This window comes from Homo sapiens, chromosome 8, assembly GCF_000001405.40.
Source record: "Homo sapiens chromosome 8, GRCh38.p14 Primary Assembly".
Taxonomy (NCBI): domain Eukaryota; kingdom Metazoa; phylum Chordata; class Mammalia; order Primates; family Hominidae; genus Homo; species Homo sapiens.
In genome coordinates this window covers 105,169,652-105,189,373 of record NC_000008.11, presented here as the reverse complement: position 1 = coordinate 105,189,373, position 19,722 = coordinate 105,169,652, and the positions used below count along the sequence as shown (strand labels likewise).

General features: G+C 37.7%; 1 long non-coding RNA gene across 1 annotated transcript in view, besides 1 other annotated feature; it reads left to right on the top strand.

Moving 5' to 3' along the window:
* The first annotated feature begins 578 nt into the window (after positions 1-578).
* Positions 579-19,722, top strand: part of LINC03084 (long intergenic non-protein coding RNA 3084) — a 45,936-nt gene continuing 26,792 nt past the window's right edge. The window contains exon 1 of the long non-coding RNA NR_187537.1: positions 579-838. This is a non-coding gene — a long non-coding RNA (long intergenic non-protein coding RNA 3084). The remainder of the gene's footprint in view (positions 839-19,722) is intronic.
* Positions 4,666-4,866: a silencer, noted in NCBI's record as "peak7138 fragment used in MPRA reporter construct". NCBI's record gives its function as "represses an SCP1 promoter by STARR-seq MPRAs in K562 erythroleukemia cells {active_cell/tissue: K562}" and the evidence as "EXISTENCE:reporter gene assay evidence [ECO:0000049][PMID:32103011]".

Genomic DNA, 19,722 nt, shown 5'->3' with positions numbered 1-19,722 from the left:
GTAGAAGACTTTCACTTCTTTGGTTAAGTTTATTCCTAAGTATTTTATATTTATTGATGCTATTGTAAGTATTGTAAGTATTGTAAGGATTGTTTTCTTAATTTTCTTTTTGGATATTTCATTGTTAGTGTATAGCCACATAAGTAATTTTTGTGATAATTTTGGATCCTGCAATGTTGCTGAATTTATTAGTTCTAACAGGTTTTTTTTTGTGGAATCTTGAGAATTTTTTGTGTACCCATGTAATCTACTAATAGAGATCATTTTACATCTTCCTTTCTGACTTGAATGCCTTTTATTTCTTTGTCTTGCTTATTTGCTCTAGCTAGGACTTCAAGAACTATGTTAAATAGAAGTGACAAGATTGGGCATTCTTGCCTTGTTCCTGATTTGAGAGGAAAATTTTTCAGTTTTTAACTGTTGAGCAAGATGTTAGCTATGGGCTTGTCATATATGGCTCTGAGATAGCAAGATAAAAACTAGTCCTCTCAGATAGGCTGCCAAAAGCCAGAAATTTGGTTGCTGGTTTTATTTCTTTTCCTCTCCAGGAGGAAGCAAGGAGTTAGAGGTTTTCTTCTACTCTTTATTTACTGAGCCAGAGGAAGCGACCATGGCCAGTGAAGGGTCCAAATTTTTGCCTTTGTTCTCAGCAGCTCTCAACTTGGCACCCCTTCCTGTCAGTGTTCTTCTAGTCAGGACATAAACCAGTCCCTTGGGCAGCTCCTGAAAAAGTCTCAACATTGGACATATGTTTCAGTCTTCTCTTTCCATTCCAAGGGAGAAACTGAGATCTGGGAGTTTTCTCTCAATTGCATTGCACTGAGGAAGAGGGCCTATGGTAAGTGTTTGCCATGAATCTTCCTACTGGCATTGGTGCAGCTGGGTTTGTGTTTGCCTGGGATGCTGGAACCTTTTAGTTGGTTTCTGGATTTCTCACAAAGGGAAATGGTCTGTATTGTTGTTGAATTGCTTTCTCCTTAGAGGAAAGAGAGGCTAGGGCTCCCTATTCAATCATCTTGCTGATGTCCATTTAATTCCTCCAAAGATGTTTGTCTTGTAGCCCACTAAATTCCTATTCTAAGACTGCCAATTATTTTCTGTGTTTACCAAACGCTGTCATTCTAGAGTCTGTTTTCTTTAGCTTCCAGGGTGAATTTCCTCGCTTCTTATATTGCACAATTTGTCTTTCTTAGTTTCTGTTTCTGTTTTCTGATTCATTATCACGAATGATATCATTAAGAACCATCCTCAGAAAAGGAACATGAGAGGTAAATTCAAGATTTGAAAGCCTTAAAATATTTTATTTTGTTTTTACTCCTGATTAGTATCGGGCAGGGTTTAGAATTTTATATTCTGAATTTTGAAGTCTTTTTTTATTGTGTGATATCAACAAATGGTGCTGATAAGTCAAATTATAGATGGAAAATAATTCTAAAGGAAGTTTTAGATTTATCTATTTGTTGTACTGAAATTTCATGTCTCTAGAAGTACTTCTTTTTACATCTATTTTCTTATTTTCCTATGGACCTTCTCTTTAGCTTTGGGGCATCGACATTAAGTTATAGGTTAGTTATGAGTTGATTACTCGTGACTGTATGAAAAATAAAATTTTAAGCAGAATATGCTTTCTAAAATATTTGTCTATAATCTGCCAAACATCCTTTTTGTTATTCAATATTGGTAATCCAGAATAGATTCATATATGTTCTATCACGTATAAGCAAACATAAACTAAATACAAGAAATACTCTTGGAAATAAATAAAATAACCTAAGTGTCCTTTGATAAAATAATTCAAGATTAAATCGTTGTAGTCTATTATTCAATAATACTAAATTTACCATTCAGAAAAGGGAACAAAATTGCTCAGAAAAAAATTGAGCTCTTTGCCATCCTTATACGCAAAGAAGAGGTTTATGGTTCTTTAGTCCTCGTAAGAAACATATGAAATTGTATTTTTAATTTCCTAACAGGGAGCCATTGGTTAACTTATTTTTAGCTTGCAATTAGTAGAAGAAAATATCTCATATAGCAAATATTACAGTGTAATCTGATTTTACCTCTTGCAGAGTTTAGTAAACAAATAAACCCCACAACAATGACAACACAACATAAAAAAGTTTGGCTTTAAGCAAAAATACATCTATATTATTATCCTACAACATGGTATTCAAAACTTACATAATTTTGCTTCCATTTTTTCCAAAGATGCTAGATTATATGCTTTTACCATGCCTCAGCCATTTGGAAATAGACAGATAGTGCATAAAGATAAACTCAGTGTTAATTCAAGAAGGAAAACAGGAATCTACTGAAATAATGAAAAGCATCCAAGATCTCAGAGAGAATGCTGGCAAAAATCCCAATGATGGCATCTGCCTGACAAAAGTAAGTGAAGCCTCAGTAAGTGAGAGATGCAGAGAGCTGCCCTATATGACTCACCTTTCCACTAGGGATCTGAGCAACCCAAGGGAGAGCACTTTGTTTCTCTCAAACCCTGAAACTAACTTGAGGAGAGGCTTGGAGATGCCATGAGGGAAAGACAGTGGGAAAAGCTTCAGACATTTTCCTAGACCTGGGATTGAGAGGAGGACAACATTTTTAATCTGGTTGCATGATCTGGTCAGCCATTCTTTGGTAACCTGGCAGCATGGTCACACAGACATTTGAGTCTCAGGCCAGACATTGGAGTGCCTGCTCTGGGGCCGGGTTGTGGCCTCCACAGCCAGAACTGTGGAAAGCACCTCAACAGTAGGCGCTGGAATTGTGCTCTTCCTTGTGACAAGTCTAGGGTGGGGAGAGCTTCTAAAGCTGCAGTTTATCCTAGGCAGTGAGACTTGCAGGTAGAGCCAGTTCAGTGACCTGGAACCAGTCTGTGGATGCCATTGCTGGGTGCCCCAGCCTGCTTCCCTGAAATCACGGTGAAATGGGGCCATCTCCACTCCACCCCCAGGCATATATCCAGGCATTTAGAGCACCTGATTGCCTGAATCATCAGCATGAGCTGTCTCACCCTTCATGAACATAGATCAAGGTGCAGTGGGGCCCTCTCCACTCCGTGCCCAGGAAGATATCCAGGCATTTAGAGCACCCATTCACCTAGTTTAGCAGCTTGAGCTGCCCTGCCCTTCCTGGACCTAGATTGTGGTGCAGCAAGTCTTTCTTTGCTCCATGTGCATGCAAATTTCTAGGTATCTGGAGTACCACCTCACCTAACTGAGCAGCCCGAGACAAACTGCCTTTTTTGAGCAAAGAACTGGGTGCAGGGTGTCCTCTATGCTGTAGACTGAGGCAGATCTTTAGGCATGGAGGGCAGCCACTTGTCTGGAACAGCAGCCTGTACTGCCCCACCCTTCCTGTGCAGAGATTCTGGTGAAAGGGGGCCCTCTCTGCTACACACCCAGGCATATCTCCAGGTATCTGGTTCACCCATTCTCATGGATTAAAAGTTGGGATGCCCCTCATCCCCAAGTGGAGAACTTGGGGCTTAGGTTTACCAGCTCCATGCCTAGGCACACCTCTGGGCACTTGGTAGCCACCCATTGGCTTCTCCCTTAGTGCTGGTGCTTCTCCCTGCCACTGGAGAAGCACAGGGAGGCAGACCTACCTGCTAATCTTGGCCCCTGCTCCTCCAGAACTGAGCAAGGAGCTAAGATCACTGTGAACTCCACAAATAAGCCCATTGCCTGAGGTAACAGAGAGCTTCTCCTGGTAAACCAGGAAAAGTACATAGCCAGCCACATTGACTGAAGCCAGCTCCTCCCTATAAGTGCCATCTGCTAGCTTATAGGTCAAACTGAACGGCCCAGTATAAAAGTTGCCATCAGAAGTGCACAGGGCTATAGAAGCAAAGCCAAAAGACCCTACCCAGCATCTTCTAAGTTCACACCCTCTAGGGAGGGAAGAAAGGGAAAAGGAAAGAATAAACAAATAATAATATTGTATGGAAAGAAAGAAAAATAAAAATCTATCATGCCAAAAAATGCATACAAAAATTAGAAGTGCCAGCATCTCCAGATGAGAGGGAATCTCCACAAGAATTCTGGCACCATGAAAAACCTGAATATTGTGTCACCACCAAAGGATCACACTTGCTCTCCAGCAGTGGTCCCTAAGGAAGATGGAAACTCAGAACTGATAGATAGAGAATTCAAAGTATGGATTGCAATGAAGCTCAAAGAGATCCAAGACAAAGTTGAAAATCAACACAAAGAAACTTCTAAAGCGATCCAGGAAATAAAGGAGGAGCTAAACATCCTAAAAAGCAATCAATTTCAGTTTCTAGAATTAAAAAACTCACTTAAGGAATATCAAAATATACTTGAAAGCAGACTGGGCCAAGCAGAGGAGAGAATTTCAGAGCTTGAAGACCACTCCTTTGAACTAACTCTGTCAGACAAAAATTTAAGAAAAGGAATTTTTAAAGTGAAAAAAACTCTTCAAGAAATATGAGATTATGTAAAGTTACCTAATCTATGAATCATTGGCATTTCAGAGAGAAAAGGAAAAAAAGGAAACAAGCTGGAAAACATATGGCAGTAATTCAAGAAAATTTTCCTCATCTTGCTAGAGAGATTAACATCCAGATAAAAGAATTCCTGAGAAAATTGGCAAGATACTACACAAAACAAACATCATTAAGAAATAAAATCTTTTTCATACAATCATGTGCTAAGGGAATTTGTTACCACTAGATCAGCCTTATAAGAGATACTTAAGAGAATTCTAAACTTGGAAACAAAACCAAAAAATACCTGCTACCACAAAAACACACTTAAGTACCTAACCCACAGATCCTATAAAGCAACCACACAGTAAAAACTGTAAATAACCATCTAACAACTTAGCAACAGGATCAAAACTTCACATATCAATATTAATCTTCAATGTAAATGTTTTAAATGCCTCACTTAAAAGGCACAGACTGGCAAGTTGGATTAAAAAAAAAGACTCATCCACTTACTGTCTTCAGTAGACCAGTCTCACATGTAATGATACCCACAGGTTCAAAGTAAAGCATTAGAGAAAGATCTACCATGCAAACAGAAAATAAACAAAGAGCAAGGTTTATAATTCCTACATAAGATAAAACAGACTTTGAACCAACTACAGTAAAAAAGACAAAGATGGGTGTTACATAATGATAAAGTATTCAATTCAACAAGAAGGCTTAACTATCCCAAATATATATGTACCCAACATTGGAGCATCCAGATTGATAAAATCAGTATTTCTAGACCTACAAAAAGGCTTAGACAGCTACAAAATAATAGTGGAGGGCTTCAACACCCCCCTGACAGTATTAGTTAGATCATCAAGGCAGAAAACAAACAAATTCTGGATTTAAATTGGACACTTGACCAACTGGTCCTAATAAACATCCAAAGAATACTGCACCCATCAACCACAGTATTATATTCTTCTAATTTGCACACACAATAAACTCCAAGATCAAACACATGCTTGGTCATAAAGCAAATCTCAATAAATTCAAAAAAACTGAAATAATGCCAACCATATTCTTGGACCACAGTGGAATAAAATGGAAACCAATACTAAGAAGATCTCTCAAAATTATACAACTACCTAGAAGTTAAACGATTTGCTCCTGAATGGCTTTTGAGTAAACAATGAAATTAGGTCAGGAATTATCAAATTCATTAAAATAAATGAATAGGGAGACGCAATGTACCAAAATCTCTGGGACGTAGCAAAAGCAGTGTTAAGAGGAAAGCTTATACCACTAAATATATACCTTAGAAAGTCAGAAAGATCTCAAATTAACAATTTAACATCACACCTAGAGGCAGCAAAAATACAAGAACAGACTAAACCCAAAGTTAGCAGAAGAAAAGAAATAATATTGGAGTAGAACTGAATGAAATTGAGATCCAAAAATCCATATAAGGAATTAACAAAACCAAAAGTTTGTTATTTGAAGGGATAAACAAGATCAGTAGACCAGTAGATAAATTAACAGAGGGAAAAAGAGAAGAACCAAAAAAGCACAATTGAAAACAACAAAGATGACATTACAACCAATCTTATAAAAATTAAAAAAAGACCCTCAAGATTATTATGAACATCTCTATGCAAGAAACTAGAAAACCTAGAGGAAGTGGATAAATTCCTGGAAACACACAATCTCCCAAGATTGAATGAAGAAAAAATGGAAACACTAAACAGAATGTGTTAGGCTGTTTTTGTATTGCTATAAAGAAATACCTGAGACTGTGTAATTTATAAAGAAAAGAGGTTTAATTGGCTCATGGTTCTGCAGGCTTTACAGGAAGCATGGTGCTGGCATCTGCTCAGCTTCTGGAGAAGCCTCAAGAAGCTTACAATCATGGCAGAAGGCAAATGGGAAGCAAGCATGTCACATGGCCAGAGTGGGATCAAAAGAGAGAGAGTGGGAGGTGCCACACACTTTTAAATTATCAGATCTTATATGGATTTAGAACAATAGCTCACTTTTCACCAAGGGGATGGCCTAAGCCATTAATAAAAGATGTATCTCCATAATCCACACATCTCCCATCAGGCCCCACTTCCAACATTAGGGATTAGAATTCAACAGGAAATTTAGGCTAGGACAAATATTTAAACTATATCACATACCAATATCAAGTTCGAAAATGGAAGTAGTAATAAAAAAATCCACCAATCAAAAACACCCTTCATCAAATAGATTCACAGCCGAATTCTACCAGATGTACAAAGAAGAGCTGGTACCAATTCTACTGAAACTATTCCAAAAACTGAGGAGGAAGGACTCTTCCATAACTCATTCTACAAAGCTACCATCAACCTGATAACAAAACCTGGCAAAACACAACAAAAAAATAAAACTGCAGGCCAATATCCCTGATGAACATTGCCACAAAAATCCTAAACAAAATACTAGCAAATTGAATCCAACAACACATTAAAAAGTTAATTCACCATGATCAAGTGGGCTACATTCATGGGATACTAGGTTGATTCAATATTTGCAAATCAATAAATGTGATTCACCACATTAAAAAATTAAAAACAAAAACCATATGATCATCTCAATAGACATGGAAAAGGCTTTTGATAAAATCCAACATCCCTTCATGATAAAAACCCACAAGAAACTAGGCATCAAAAGGATATAATAAGATAATAAGAGCCCTCTTACTATCTTATTAAAATAATAAGAACCATCTATCACAAACCTACAGCCAACATCATACTGAATGGGCAAAAACTGGAGGGATTTCTCCTGAGAACTATAACAAGACAAAGATGCCCACTCCTACCATTTCTATTTAACATGTACTGAAAGTGCAAGCCAGAGTAATCACCCAGGAGAAAGAAACAAAATGCATCTGCATAGGAAAAGAAGAATTCAAATGATTTCTCTTTGCAGACAATATGATTCTATGCATAGAAAACACCAAAGACTCCACCAAAAGGCTCCTAGAACTGATAAATGATTTCAGCAAAGTTTCAAGATACAAAATCAACTTACAAAAATTAGTAGCATTTCTATACACCAAAAACCAAGCTGAGAGCCAAATCAACAATGCAACCCCATTTACAATAGCCACAAAATAATAAAATACCTAGAAATACAGTCAACCAAGGAGGCAAAAGAGATTTACAAGGAGAACTACATGACACTGCTAAAAGGAATCATAGATAACAGAAACAAATGGAAAACCATTCAATAGTCATGTATGGGAAGAGTCAATATCATTAAAATGGTCATACTCTCCAAAGAAATCTAGAGATTCAACATTATTCCTACAAAACTATCAATGTTATTTTTCTTTAAGTAGAAACAACTATTCTAAATAGCCAAAGCAATCCTAAGCAAAAAGAAAAAAAAAAAAAAACAGAAGGCATCACATTACCTGACTTCAAACTATACTATATGCCTATGGTAACCAAAACAGCGTGGTACTGGTATGAAAACATACATGTAGACCAATGAAAAAGAATAGAGAACTCAGAAGTAAAGCCACACACCTATGACCATCTGATCTCTGACATATTTGACAAAAATAAGCAATGGGAAAAGGACTCTCTTTTCAATAAAGAGTCCTGAGATAGTTGGCTAACCACATGCAGAAGTATGAAACTGGACCCTTACCTGTCACTATATACAAAAATTAACTTCAGATCGATTAGAGTCCTAAATGTAAGACCTCGAACTATAAGAATCCTAGAAGAAAACCTAGTAAACACCATTCTGGACATCGACCTTGGGAAAGAATGTATGACTAAGTTGTCAAAGTCAATTTCAACAAAACAAAAAATGGACAAGTGGTACCTAATTAAACTAAGGAGCTTCTGCACAGCAAAATAAACTATCAACAGAGTAAACAGATAATTTACAGGATAGAAGAAAATATTCATAAGCTATGCATCCAACAAAGGTCTAACAACCAGAATCTATAAGGAACTTAAACAACTCAACAAACAAAAAACAAATAATCCCATTGAAAAATGAGAGAGATATGAACAGATACTTCTCAAAAGAAGACATACTAGTGGCCAAAAAACATGAAAAAATGCCCCACATCACTAATCACCAGATAATTGCTAATCAAAACCACAAATGAGATTCCATCTCACACCAGTCAGAATGGTTATTAAAAAGGCAGAAAATAACAGGTGCTGGCAAGGGTGTGGAAAAGGAGGAATACTTATACACTGTTTATGAGAATGTAAATTAGTTCAACCACTGTGGAAACCAGTTGGAGAGTTCTTTTTTTCTCAAAGAAATAAGTTTGGAGATTTCTCAGAAAGCAGAACTACCATTCAAACCAGCAATCCCACAATTGAGTATATATCCAAAGGAAAACAAATTGTTTTACCAAAAAGACACATGCACTTGTATGTTCATCGCAGCACTATTCATAATAGCAAAGACATGGAATCAATCTAGGTGCCCATTAACAGTGGATTGGACAAAGAAAATGTGATACATATATAACACTGCATACTATGCAGCCATAAAAAAAATAATAAAATCACGTTTGTAGTAACACGGATGCAGCTGGCGGCCATTATCCTAAGCAAATTAAAGTAGGACCAGAAAAACAAATACTGCACATTATCATTTATAAGTTGGAGCTAAACCTTGGGCACTCAGGGACACAAAGATATAAATATTAGACACTGAAAATTGCTCAAGGCAGGAGGAAGAGAGGGGGACAAAGTTTGAAAAACGAACTTTTCAGTAGCATGCTCAGTATATGGGGGATGGAATGAATTGTCTTCCAAACCTCTGCATCACGCAATATACCCTTTTAACAAACTTGCACATGTACCCCCTGAATCTAAAATAAAAGTTGAAAAAAATTTGCTCCTAAGCATATATGATTAAAAAAGAATAATTGATCATGTTAATTAATGTGGTCATCTAAGCAACTGATTTACTTTATAAATGAAATTTATCACAGTGTCAAGACAGAGTTATAGAGTGAGTCTTTGCCATAATCCAAAGTTAAAAAAATAATAAAAAAAACCACTTTTTCTCTACATGTATATCCCTAGACTGTATAGACTCCACAACTGTAGAATAGCTTCTAAAACACCTTTTACTATGTTTATACAATAGAATGCATAAAATGATTAGACAGTAATTTAGGGAACTTCAGCATTCCTTTCAGGCAAAACTCTTCTTAAATAAATTGTATGACCCACCACTCCCAGAAAGCTGTGCTGATCTTGATCCCAATGACTAAAACTTCCTTGGTCAGAGTTGGAAATTTTACCCAAATTCGGTCAATCAAGTTTTCTCTATGAGAAATTTTAAACTGAGGTCTTTTACTTGCAATTACCAAATGTGCACTGAGCACTGGAGCTTGATAAAATATAGAGTGAATGCCTGGGTGAGTGCCACGGCAGCCAGGTGGGTAAAGAAATGCATGGAGGCGCATGCCTATAATCCCAGCTATTTGGGAGGCTAAGGTAGGAGAATCGCTCGAACCTGGGAGGCGGAGGTTGCAGTGAGCGACGATCGCTCCTTCGCACTCCAGCCTGGGCAATAAGAGTGAAACTCCATCTCAAAAGAAAAAAAAAAAAAAGAAATGTACAGAAAAGACTGGTGATCAGAAAATAGAAAGGGGAAGAGATGGGATATTTTCACCAACCCCCAGCCCACTGGAATCATATATGCATATGCCCTTCCTGTAGTAACCTGCTAATATGTTGTACATTCCCATATAACAGGAAACAGGGCCATGAGGGTATATCCTTCCATTGCCACTCATGGAAATTCTCCTCACTTTGACAAGAAGCTCCCATTCGCTAGTCGTGCTGACCATTTCCTCACTCTTCTTCCTCAGAATCTGCTTTTTCAAATGACTCCCAAGCATTCAGAGAACTGAGTAGTGGGGACTTCGTCTTCTCATAGACCTATTTTTTTTTTTTTTTTTAGATGGAGTTTCACTCTTGTCACACAGGCTGGAGTGCAGTGGCGCGATCTTGGCTCACTGCAACCTCTGCCTCCCAGGTTCAAGCAATTCTCCTGCCTCAGCCTCCTGAGTAGCTGGGATTACAGGTGCCTATGACCACGCCCGGCCAATTTTTATACTTTTAGTAAGGACAGGGTTTCACCATGTTGCCAGGCTGGTCTCAAACTCCTGACCTCAGGTGATCCAACGGCCTCAGCCTCCCAAAGTGCTGGGATTACAGGCATGAGCCACCATGCCCAGCCCTCATTGACATATTTTTTTTTTTTCCACAGCTCTATTCCTAGCTTTCACTAGTGAGGCTTGGGTTAAGTAGCCAGTTCACTTTCGAGTAGGAGACTGTTTGGATGCGTAACATTGGTAGGACCCAACTTCTCTCTGCCCACAGACTGGAAATGATTCCCAGTTGGAGTGGTAAGATATAGAGAGGTTGTATAGAAGGAGAAAGGTCAACAGGCCTGAGATAAGATGACTAGACCAGAAGACAGAAGCCAAGTTAAAATCTAGAAAAATCCACCTCTACTCAAGCACCCACTAGAGCAAGATTCATAATTCAACAGCATCTAGGAGCATATGGACCACAGACTATGTAGTTTCTATTGAGTGGATGACTTACATTATCTTCACTGAGGTGCCATTAGCTATTCTTCTTATCCAGTCAGTTCTGTTCCCTCAGTCTATTCTCAACACAGCAGCCACTGTGATCCTTTTGGATTATGTCATTCTTCTGCCCAAACCATCCTGTGGCTTCCCATTACACTTAGAATAAATCCAAAGTCTTTTATTACCTTCTCTGACCTCATCTTCAATTACTCTTCTGCTCATTTATCTCTCCAGCTACCTTGGTCAGCTTACTGTTCTACGTACCCTCTTCCCTCAGGCTTTGCGCAAGCTGGTCCCTTTGCCTGGAAGACTTTTCTATCATGTCTTACTGTGATTTACTCCTTCATTATGTTCAGGTCATTATTCAAATGTCACATTCTCATTAAAGACTTCTTAGCCACCCTGTCTAAAACTTCAAACTCCACCCATATACACAAGTTTTGATCTTCTATTTAAAACCTTTTAAATTTCATACTTCTTTATGCTGTTTATTTTCTCTCTCCTCTAACAGAATGTAAGTCTCATGAAAACAACTATTTTTGTCCACTTTATTTACTATATATACTCAGCTCCTTATAAGCAGGAAGAGCTATATAATTTATGGGGCACAGTGCAAGACGAAAATGCAGGGAACCATGTTCAAAATTATTAAGAATCTCAAGACAGTAGCAGCTCAGCATTAAATTAAATGCAGAGGTGGCAAGTTCATGAAACTCACCCTGTCTAGAACCTCTCAGAGAGAAGCAACCCATTTCACATTGATCATCCAGCAGACAAGACTGTATTCCATTGTCTTTCAACTGAGCCTCTGAGGAAAGTACCCAAGCTGCCAACAGCCCAAGATTCTCATAAGTCCCTTTGATAGAGGGCAGGACAGCGACTGTCCAGAGATGTGGCAGTAGAATAAGGAGCCTCCTACACAACCTCCTCACATTTTTAAGGGCAGAGAAATCATCAGGCAATTCCTTCCACTTGCAAAACTAATAATAGATACAAAAAAAAAAAAGTCTCCCTTACATTGTAAAAGACAACCAAAAGGGTCTCAGGTGAAATAATTTCTGTAAGAAATAGAAATTATTTGTATGTCTTCAAAATTTTATAATGGAACTAAAGTGCCTTTAAAGATACTAAACTATTTTTAAAAATTAAGAACAAAAGGAATTAAAATATCTACATTAAGTAAACCATATTTATACATTTTTATAATGTAACATGGCATTAAATTATGCATCCTTTGTAACAGAACAGCGTTTCTATGTCTTTTCTCATGCAGTTACTACATAGTAAGAATATTTCTGAGTCAGATCTTCATTTTCAGCACAGCATCAAATATATTCCAATATTTTGTCTAACTTCCAGGATATTCCAAAATTCTCATTTTTCAAAAGTAAATTGTAGCAAAGAGAATAACACAAATTTAATGTTTTAACGCTTAAAAATGGCAGTTTCCAAAATACGTAATTATTTCTTCTTAAAAAGTTTACCTCACAATTTTTAGGGTGAGTTTATAGTTGCCATTAATCACATTCACTTAGAATAATTCTGGTTTTCTTTATTGTTTTATTTGAGAACAATTAGGTTTTTTTTTATTCAAAACTTCCCTTTGACAGCCACATAGCCACATGTGGTATAAACCTCTAACAGCAATACATAGAATAAGATCCCCAGAACAAGTTGGATGCACAAACTTAAGTCCTCAAATAAAGATATAAAAATTATAAATCAGTACATTGTTGTGTTACTTTGTTCTTAAGCTGCAGAATCCTCAGGAGACTTACAATCAAGGTGGAAGGCACCTCTTCACAGGGTGGCAGGAGAAAGAATGAGTGCTGAACAAAGGGGGCAGCCCCTTATGAAACCATCAGAGCTCATGAGAACTCACTCACTATCATGAGAACAGCATGGGGGAAACCGCCCCCATGATTCATTATCCGCACCTGGTCCAGTCTTGACACATGGGAATTATTACAATTCAAAGTGAGATTTGGGTGGGGACACAGAGCCAAACCATATCAACTGTGTATTTTGAAAACACTGCCTGTGCACCAATGTATAATTTTTAGCCATCCATAATTCATTCTGCGGGTGATGTCTCATCAGACCCTTTGATTCACTTAAGACATATGAAACAAAAACATCAATACATAAATATGCTTGATATTTTCTTCTAAATTAAGGGTTTCTAAGACAAAAATAGAATTGTTCCCCACATAACATTTATTAACATCTCAAAGAACACCAGTATTCCCTGAAACACAGTTTTGGAAATGCTGGCCTGGAGAAAAGCCCAAACCGATAGCACAGTGTTAGGTAAAAGGAATAGAATTTGGAATTAGGCAGACCTTTGGATTGAGATCGGTTCTGTCATTTAGTTTGCTGGAATATTGTGAACTTTACTGAAAAACAAAAAGTAGCAGTACTTAGCTTTACATGGTGGGGACAAAATAGTTGCTTAATAAATATTAGCATGTTCTCTTCCATTCCCCACCCTACTGTTTCCTCTTTGGGGGCTGCGTCAATTGGATTCTTAGTTACAAGTGAAAGAAAATACAACTCAACTCAGGCAAAAAAGGGAACTTATTGGCTCACATAAAATGAAAGACTGGATTCAGGGCCCAGAAAATATAATTAGGAGTTGGTTTCTCTCCATCTCTTTACTATGCCTTCTGTCATACTGGCTTCAGTTTAAAGTGCCACGTGATAGCAAGGGGTTGCTTGGAGCTCCAGCCCCAGTATTCTCCAGGCTTCAGGCCTAACAGAAAAAAGTGAATACCTCATCCCTGGAAATTTACCAAATAAGTTCTGCTTTAGTTCTGATTAAGTCACATGCCCATGTCTTGACCAATTACAACCGCTGAAGGCATGAACAGTAGTGGTTGGTCCAAGATCCTGTGCTCCCCTCAGGAATGCTGAGAGTGTGAGTGTGCATGTATGTGTCTTTGTACATGTGTGTACAAGATATGTGTCAGATTCTACAAAGCCAAAGGGACCAGAAGTGGGGAAGGAGCTAATTCCCCAAATGGAATGGGGTTCAGGTTAATGTTCCCTGAAAGAAGGTTAATAGACACTGGACAGTAAAAACAGCTGATGGCCACTACAGCTCCCCTCTCATCAACCCAGAATCACACATGCTGCAAGCAAAACTCTGTCCTACCCACTAGAAATAATGATATTCCTAAAGTACTCTGCCTCATTGCCCCAGAATCTCCCAGAGATCATATCCTATCAATTAACGTTACTTAAAATCTCTTTACTTTTTCTACTGGAGTTTTTATCCTTTAGACTCCATTCGCTTATTTCTTGATCCTAACATGTTCCTTTACCAAATCTTCACTCCCATCTAGTAATTGTCTTCTTTCTGAGCCCCCAAAGCTTTCTGGACATCCTAGCACAGATCACATTGTCCTATATTGGTTCCCTGGCTTCTTGTGTGTCTCTCCTCATCCTGTGTTCGATTCACTCTGGTCCTTATTGTCTAGTATAAAAACTACCACACGGCTGGGCATGGTGGCTCACGCCTGTAATCCCAGCACTTTGGGAGGCTGAGGCGGGTGGATCATGAGGTCAGGAGATCGAGATCTTCCTGGCTAACATGGTGAAATCCTGTCTCTACTAAAAATACAAAAAAAAAAAAATCAGCCGGGCGTGGAGGCACATACCTGTGCCTGTAGTCCCAACTACTTGGCAGGCTGAGGCAGGAGAAATGCTTGAACCCAGGAGGCGGAGGTTGGAGTGAGCCGAGGTCACGCCACTGCACTCCAGCCTGGGTGACAGAGTGAGACTTTGTCTCAAAAAAACCCACACAAACAAACAAACAAACAAAAAACCAAAAAACTGCCACACAAGAGACACTTAATGGAGGTTTGCTAAAGGGATAAATAAATGAATCAAATACCAGTGAATGGATCCACAAGTATCACAGAAAGAAACCTCCAAAATGTGACTCTCTTGATTTATGTCATAGACAATTAACTTCAGTTACAGTGTTAGATAAGTATTATTAGTAAAGGTACATATTTCAGTCCATTTTATACTCCAGATTGTTTTTCCTGGAATACAAATAGCTACATTGGCCTTACAGAGTTGAAGTGAGTCAGTCTGTTTGTCTTTGTCTCTTTGTCTGTTTCTCTCTCTCTCCCTGCTCCTTCTTTCTCAGATATAGACACAGACAACACCCCTACACACCTATAAAACTAAATTTCCATAGAAATATGATAATTCGAACATGACATAATTTTTTTGTCATTTTGACAGCTTTTATTTTACATGGGTTTTCATATATAATCCCAAATGGTGAGCTACTTTGAGAAGGCAGTGGCCACATTTTTACTACAGCAAAATCTCCAGATTCAGCAATTTTTCTGATAATTTGTTTGACTACAAAGTATCTAGCTGGCTTCAGAGGGAGGAAAAAATCATCTAGAGTTTTTAACAGAAGGAACTTCTAAAGGTAGATGAAGCCAGTGCATTTCAAGGAAAAAAAAAAAAAAAGTAGATTAGCCAACGGTGAAATTTCTACAGTCCCAGGAAGATTTCTCCTTCGTTGAATTTTGCTGAAGCAGGATTTTCATCAATTATTCCCGTGAAAATTTAAAAGTGCTGTGAGTAGATACTTCCAACTCTTAAAGGCAAATGTTCTTTTTTAAATATAATTTTAGGACATATTTTTAAAGAATACACAAGCCATGCATGAGTGCAATTTTATCATAAAATATGTAAAAACCTACATAAATATATAGAATTTTAAAAATTCTGATTGGTCTATCTTTTTCCTTCTACATTAGTAATTGCTTCTAATTCTCATCTCTTTCCAGACACTTTTAAAAATTCTCATATATTATTCTATGTAAAGTCTCCCTAGTTTCTTTTTGGTGAATTTCTGCTTTCCACTATTGATGATGTTGGCTAGAGACCAATTCCTACTGCCTGCCTCCACCATATAATCTGTGCCTTCCTACAAGGCCCTCATACCATGCTTCCGAGACTCTGAACTGTACGTGAGAGAAACAAGAAATCTAGAAATTTTGAAGGCCAGAACCCTCACAGTAGCAGCAGTAACAGAGGTGATGACAGCAGCAGCAGCTGTGGCAACATACTGACCAGGCTATTCCTGCCTAAGTGTGTTGCAATGTTTCCTGCTTCCTGAATTCCTTCTGAGCTTCCTTTTTTCCTGGTGTTCCCAGTCGTCTTCTTCCTGCTGTCATTGACTCTGGGAGCTGCATCCTTCCAATGTCAGGTAGACTAAAATTCCATAAAGCCCATTGTGCCTGTTATTAAAATTGTAGAACAACTTTCTTTCCGTTATTTTCCTAGTATTTTTTTCATCTATTTAACTCACATTTTCTCAATATATTCCAGATGTCCCCTTCGTAATTATATACTATTCAGTTACATTCTATTGATTTTTTAAAAGGCAAATCTTAGAATTTCTCTTTGTAAAAATTCCTTTGATCCGAGTAATCACATTTGTTTATTTTCTATTTCCTGCGTTTTCCTCCTTATTTATATAAACTGTGATAAGTCAAGTGAGCATGTTAAACACTTAAATTAAGCACTAAAAGAATACATAATAAAGTCTACAAGTGTTGACCAATTGTCTATCTCCTTCAGAAAAATCTGAGGATATTAGAATGCTTTAATTTCAATCTCCTTTGAAATAACTGAGTTTTCTGACCTTTTCTTCTGTTTTTAAAAATACCCAAATAGTGTTACATTTTTATAAGCCAGTGCACCAACATAATAAAGGGCATTTATGAAAACCCTGCAGCTAACGTAATGAAAGATTCAATGATGAAAGACTGAAAACTTTCTTCCTAAGATCAAGAACAAGATAAGGATGGCTTCTTGAACACTGCTATTCACCATTACACTGGAAGTTCTAGCCAGAGCAATTTGACAAGAAAAAGAAGTAAATGGCATCCAAATCTTTTAAAAAACAAGTAAAACTATTTCTATTTACAGATAGCATAAGCCTACAAAAAGAATATCCCAAATAATCCACCAGAAAGCTACTAGAGCTAATAAACAAATGCAGGAAAATTATAGGGTACAAGATCAATAGACACAAATCAGTTGTATTTTTATATACTTGCAATGAGCACTCAACAAAGAAAACAAAAAAATTTATTTACAGTAGTATCTAAAAGAATAAAATACCAGGGAATAAGTTTAGCTAAGGAGGTGAAAGACTCGTATAACGAAAACCATAACACGTAGCTGAAATAAATTGAAGAAGACCTAAAATAATGGAAAGATATCCTGTGTCCAGGAACTGAAAGACTTAATGTTGTTAAGATGTTAATATCTACCTCAAGTGACTACAAATTTAGGGCAATCTTTATTGAAATTGCAATAGCCATTTTGCAGAAATGGAAAAATTGACTCTCAAATTCATATGGAATTGCGAGGAGCCCTCGATAGCAAAAACAATATTAAAAAATGAAAAACAAAGTTGGAGAACTCATACTTCCCAATTTTAAAACTTACTACAAAGTTACAGTAATCAAACCAGTATGATACTGGCATAAGAACAGACATGTAAAACAATGGAATAGAATTGAGAGTCCACCACAAAGACATAAGAATGAGGCATTGGACTTTGGGGACTTAGGGGGAAAGAGTGGGAGGCGGGTGAGAGATAAAAGACTACATGTTGGATACAGTGTACATTGCCTGGGTGATGGGTGCACCAAAATCTTAGAAATCGTCATTAAAGAACTTATCCGTATAGTAAACACCACCTACTCCCTAAAAACCTATTGAAATAAAAAATAAATTTAAAAAAAGAATTGAAAGTCCAGGAATCAATCTATAAATCCATGGCCTATTGATATTTGACAAGGTTGCCACATCCATTCAAAGGAGAAAGAATAGTCTTCAACTAATGGTGCTGGTACAACAACCTAAATGCAAGGGCTAAAAATTGTAACTCCTAGAAGAAGTTATAGGGGAAATCATGACCTTAGATTTAGCGGTGGAATCATAGATACAGTTGCTGATTTGAACTCTGCTATTGTTTTGGGTTTTTTTTTTTTTCTCTCTTGGTAAGTAATTTCCTTTCTGTTCCTGACTTGGATGTCCTGTAGTTGTTGTTGTTTTTAGAGGAAGATTTCTTATTATAGCCATTAGCTCACTGGAGAAATGGAAAATTTGCTAAAGGTGGGAATCATTTAAAACAACAATTAGGCCTGCCTTGGTGGCTCACACCTGTAATCCCAGCACTTTGGGAGGCCGAGGCCAGTGGATTGCCTGAGGTCAGGAGTTCAAGACCAGCCTGACCAACATGGTGAAACCCTGTCTCTACTAAAAAATACAAAAAGTTAGCCGAACGTGGTGGTACATGCCTGTAATCTCAGCTACTTGGGAGGCTGAGGCACAATAATCACTTGAACCCGTGAGGCAGAGGTTGCAGTGAGCGGAGATCATACCATTGCACTCCAGCTATCTTAAGCATTTAATTTATACTGTTAGGAAATGTTTTAAAATAGACGAGTCCCTTCGAGACAGGCCTACTGGTCTTATTTTTATCTTATCTTTCCTTCATGAACTACACACATTATGCATCATTATGCATTCTCTACAATTTCCAATTCCAGTGTCTCTACAGTGAATGCAAGAACCTAAAAGACATTATAGGAAGCAGTTGTGTTCACCATATTCCAGATATTTATGACTTTTGACTTCCTTCCAAAACCTAATTTTATAGCTGCTTTATTTAAGTGGCATACCTTTATGGAATTCTCCCAAAACATTCAATTTAGTTTTTCTTGACACAATTTTTTCTTTTATGTTGATATTTTATTGGTCTGGATAATAAAAATAACATGTGCAACTCTCCTTAACAGTTACAGACAAAACAGAACTGAATTTTTAAAAATAGAATTCAAGGCTGGGCGCAGTGGCTCACGCCTGTAATCCCAGCACTTTGGGAGGCCGAGGTGGGCGGATCACGAGGTCAGGAGATCGAGACCGTCCTGGCTAACACAGTGAAACCCCATCTCTACTAAAAATACAAAAAAAAAAAAATTAGCTGGGCATGGTGGGGGGCTCCTGCAGTCCCAGCTACTCGGGAGGCTGAGGCAGGAGAATGGCATGAACCCGGGAGCTGGAGGTTGCAGTGAGACGAGATTGCGCCACTGCACCCTAGCCCCCAGCCTGGGCAACAGAGTGAGACTCCGTCTCAAAAAACTAAATAAATAAATAAATAAATAAATAAATAAAAATAGAATTCAACTGGTAGGAGCAAGAGTGCACTGATGTACTATATAGTGACTTCCTAGTTTTAAGTGTGAAGTACACTATAAGAACTGGCAAGAGAGAATGGAAAAAACCCACTGATTGGCTGAGTCTCTGAGTAAGTCAAGAGAACTCACTCAGTGAGGAAGATTTCTGCTCTATTTCTCTTACTCAGAACTCAATCTGAATAACCATGTCTTTTTCAGTTCTGGATATTTGCTGCTATTTTTTCCCAAAGATATTTCTTCCCTCTCTATTCTCACACACACAAACTTAGATGAATGCTTAATATTTTCATTTTATTGTCCACGTCACTTAACTGTTTTTCATGTGTCCAACCTCTTATTGCTCTTGGTTGCATTTTAGGACTTTTTCTGAGATCTGTCTCCCCATTTTCTCACCCCCTGTTTAGCTGTGCCTGGCTATCACTTAAGCA